Source organism: Homo sapiens, chromosome 2, assembly GCF_000001405.40.
Source record: "Homo sapiens chromosome 2, GRCh38.p14 Primary Assembly".
NCBI classification, from domain to species: Eukaryota; Metazoa; Chordata; class Mammalia; order Primates; family Hominidae; genus Homo; species Homo sapiens.
The window spans coordinates 149961466-149964559 of NC_000002.12; the positions used below are offsets into that span (position 1 = coordinate 149961466).

A 3094-nucleotide genomic window follows, 5' to 3' on the forward strand; every position below is an offset into this window, starting at 1 on the left:
TGCTTCTCTAGTTCTTTTAATTGTGAGGCTAATGTGTCAATTTGAGATCTTTCCTGCTTTCTCCTGTGGGCATTTAGTGCTATAATTTCTCTCTAACCACTGTTTTATCTGCATGCCAGAGATTCTGGTATGTTGTCTCTTTGTTCTCATTGGTTTGAAAGAACTTCTTGATTTCTGCCTTAATTTCATTGTTTACCCAGGAGTCATTCAGGAGCAGGTTGTTCAATTTCCATGTAATTGTGCAGTTTTGAGTGAGTTTCTTAATGTTGAGTTCTAATTTGATTGTACTATGGTCTAAGAGGCTGTTTGTTATTATTTCCATTCTGTTTGATTTGCTGAGAAGCATTTTACTTCCAATTATGTGGTCAATTTTAGAGTAAGTGCCATGTGGCACTGAGAAGAATGTATATTCTGTTATTTTGGGGTGAAGAGTCCTGTAGATATCTATTAGGTTAATTTGATCCAGAGCTGCATTCACATCCGGAATATCCTTGTTAAATTTTCTGTCTTGTTGAACTATCTAATATTGATAGTGGGGTGTTAAAGTCTCCCACTATTATTGTGTGGGAGTCTTTTAGTCTCTTTTTTGGGTGTCTAAGAACTTGTTTTGTGAATCTGGGTGCTCCTGTATGGGGTGCATATATATTTAGGTTATATATAGTTATATAGTTAGCTATATATAGTTAGCTCTTCTTGTTGAATTGACTGCTTTACCATTATGTAATTCCTACTTTGTCTTTTCTGATCATTGTTGGTTTAAAGGCTGTTTTGTCAGAGACTAGGATTGCAACCCTTGCTTTTTTCTCCTTTCCATTTGCTTGGTAAATTTTCCTCCATTCTCTTATTTTGAGTCTATGTGTGTCTTTGCACATGAGATGGGTCTCTTGAATATGGCACACTGACGGGTCTTGACTCTTTATCCAATTCCTCTGAGCTAGTGGCGGGAAAGACTAAGTCTGCTGGTCCATGGAGACTATGGCCACCGCTCCCTCTAGGGGCTCAGGCCCAGGGAGATCAGCGTTCTGTCCCTGAGCCCCTGGCTGGAGTTAGAATTCCTGCAGGGAGACCCTGCAGCCACAATGTTGGCTGCTGTCCCTCCCCCAAGGAGCTCAGATGCCTTAGACCACAGGCAGCCACAGTAGTGTTGATGGCCACCCCTCTCCCTGGGAACTCGGCAGGCTTAGGCCAATTCTAGCCGAGTAAGTGTTGAGAATCTGCATGGCTCTATGATTGGAGCTGAAGACCCTGGTGGTGTGGGCTCCTGAGTGGGATCTTCCAATCTGTGGGTTGCACAGTTTCATGGAAAAAGCACTGTTTCCCAGGCTGGGTAGCGCACTCACTCACCACCTCCCTTGACTGGGAATGGGGGCTCCCCTACCCCCTGTGGCTTTCAGGAGAGCCACCGCTCCACACTGTTCTTCCTTCCTCTCCATAGGTCATGCCAGCTGCCCAGTCAGTCCTAATGACAGAACCTGGATACCTCAGTTTCTGGTATAGGATTCGCATGCTGTTTTGGATATTTTTGATGGGAGCCTCTGATCATCATGGCTTCTAGTCGGCCATCTTGGCCCCCATGTTTTTTATTTTCTAGTGTTTTGTAACGTTTTCTCAGGCATTCGTAAGTGACCACAGCTGGTCACATTTGAATCTAAGAATTCATAATGGTGATGGGACATTTTTGCGGGATTTAAACCTGGAAGAATATCGTCCCTGGAGCTATAAGCTACTGTCTTTCAAGCATGTAGGGTTGGATAATGGATTCAATACCAAGGAGGCAATGCCTGATAATTAAGAGAAAGATAAATTATTTGAACCCTGGAATGAGCCATATCTGAAAGCACTTTTCCATTACATAAACCAATATATTTCATTTTTCTTAAACATGTTTGAAAGGTTTTTCATCACTCAAAACAGAAAGTGAAGATACACATGCATCACTGTCATCTTGAACACAATGGAAGACAGAGCTTTGTGCTTTCTGATATAACAACCATATCCAATTATTTCCAATGTTGTTTCATACATGGCCCATGAGATCCTGAAGAAACCTTACATTTTCTTCATTGTATAGATTTCTTGTCACTGCCTCAGAAAAAACTTTTTATGTTCTGAGTAGTTTGTTTTCCATGGATAGCAGTCTCATAACCTTGTATTTCTTTTTCATGTTACACATAGATAAATGAGATATATAATAGATATGGATAAATTGATGAGATATATAATAGATAGATATACAATATGTTTTTTTAAATGTCTTTCTCACAAGACATTAAGCTCCATGAGGGGAGGCTTTGTGTATATCTTTATTTTCAGAGTTATATCCCTAGCACCTAGCCCAATGTCTAGCATAGAAAGAATATTACTTGACTGAGGAAATACTGCTTGATGGAATAAATGAATGATTAAATTCAAATAAACATGAAAACCCAAAATCATGTAGTACTACTATGCTAAGTACATGCCTACATACATATGCATGTCTTTTTTTGTTTTCTTATTTTTAGACAGAGTCTTGCTCTGCTGCCCAGGCTGGAGTGCAGTGGTGTGATCTTGGCTCACTGCAGCCTCTACTTCCTGGTTTCAAGTGATTCTTCTGCCTCAGGCTCCCAAGTAGCTGGGATTATAGGTGTGTGCCACCACACCTGGCTAATACTTTTGTATTTTTAGTAGAGTTGGGGTTTTGCCGTGTTGGCCAGGCTGGTCTCAAACTCCTGGCCTCAAGTGATCTGCCTGCCTTGGTCTTCCAAAGTTCTGGGATTACAGGCATGAGCCACCATGCCTGGCCCATATACATATCCATGTATACATATTTACATGTGTATGTGTGTATGTATATGTTTATATGTACGTGTATATATGTGTATGTACATGAGTATATATACATATTTGTGTATATATGTGTGCGCACACACACATGCACATATACAGATATTCAAGAATGCAGAGGGCAGATTTATTTAGGCCTGAGACTCATGTAACAGCCACAGGGTTAAGATCTCTTCCAAACCCCACTTGATCTTAGAGTGAGATAGTGAGTAGAGTACTTGACAGAGAAAGACCAATGCGTGCACTGAATGCAATTAGCAAATTTCTA

General features: G+C 40.7%; 2 annotated features.

The window, feature by feature from the left end:
• Positions 679–1179: an enhancer, noted in NCBI's record as "H3K27ac hESC enhancer chr2:150818658-150819158 (GRCh37/hg19 assembly coordinates)". NCBI's record gives its function as "activates a minimal SCP1, AML or CMV promoter by ChIP-STARR-seq in primed H9 embryonic stem cells {active_cell/tissue: H9 hESC(primed)}" and the evidence as "EXISTENCE:reporter gene assay evidence [ECO:0000049][PMID:30033119]".
• Positions 1180–1680: an enhancer, noted in NCBI's record as "H3K27ac hESC enhancer chr2:150819159-150819659 (GRCh37/hg19 assembly coordinates)". NCBI's record gives its function as "activates a minimal SCP1, AML or CMV promoter by ChIP-STARR-seq in primed H9 embryonic stem cells {active_cell/tissue: H9 hESC(primed)}" and the evidence as "EXISTENCE:reporter gene assay evidence [ECO:0000049][PMID:30033119]".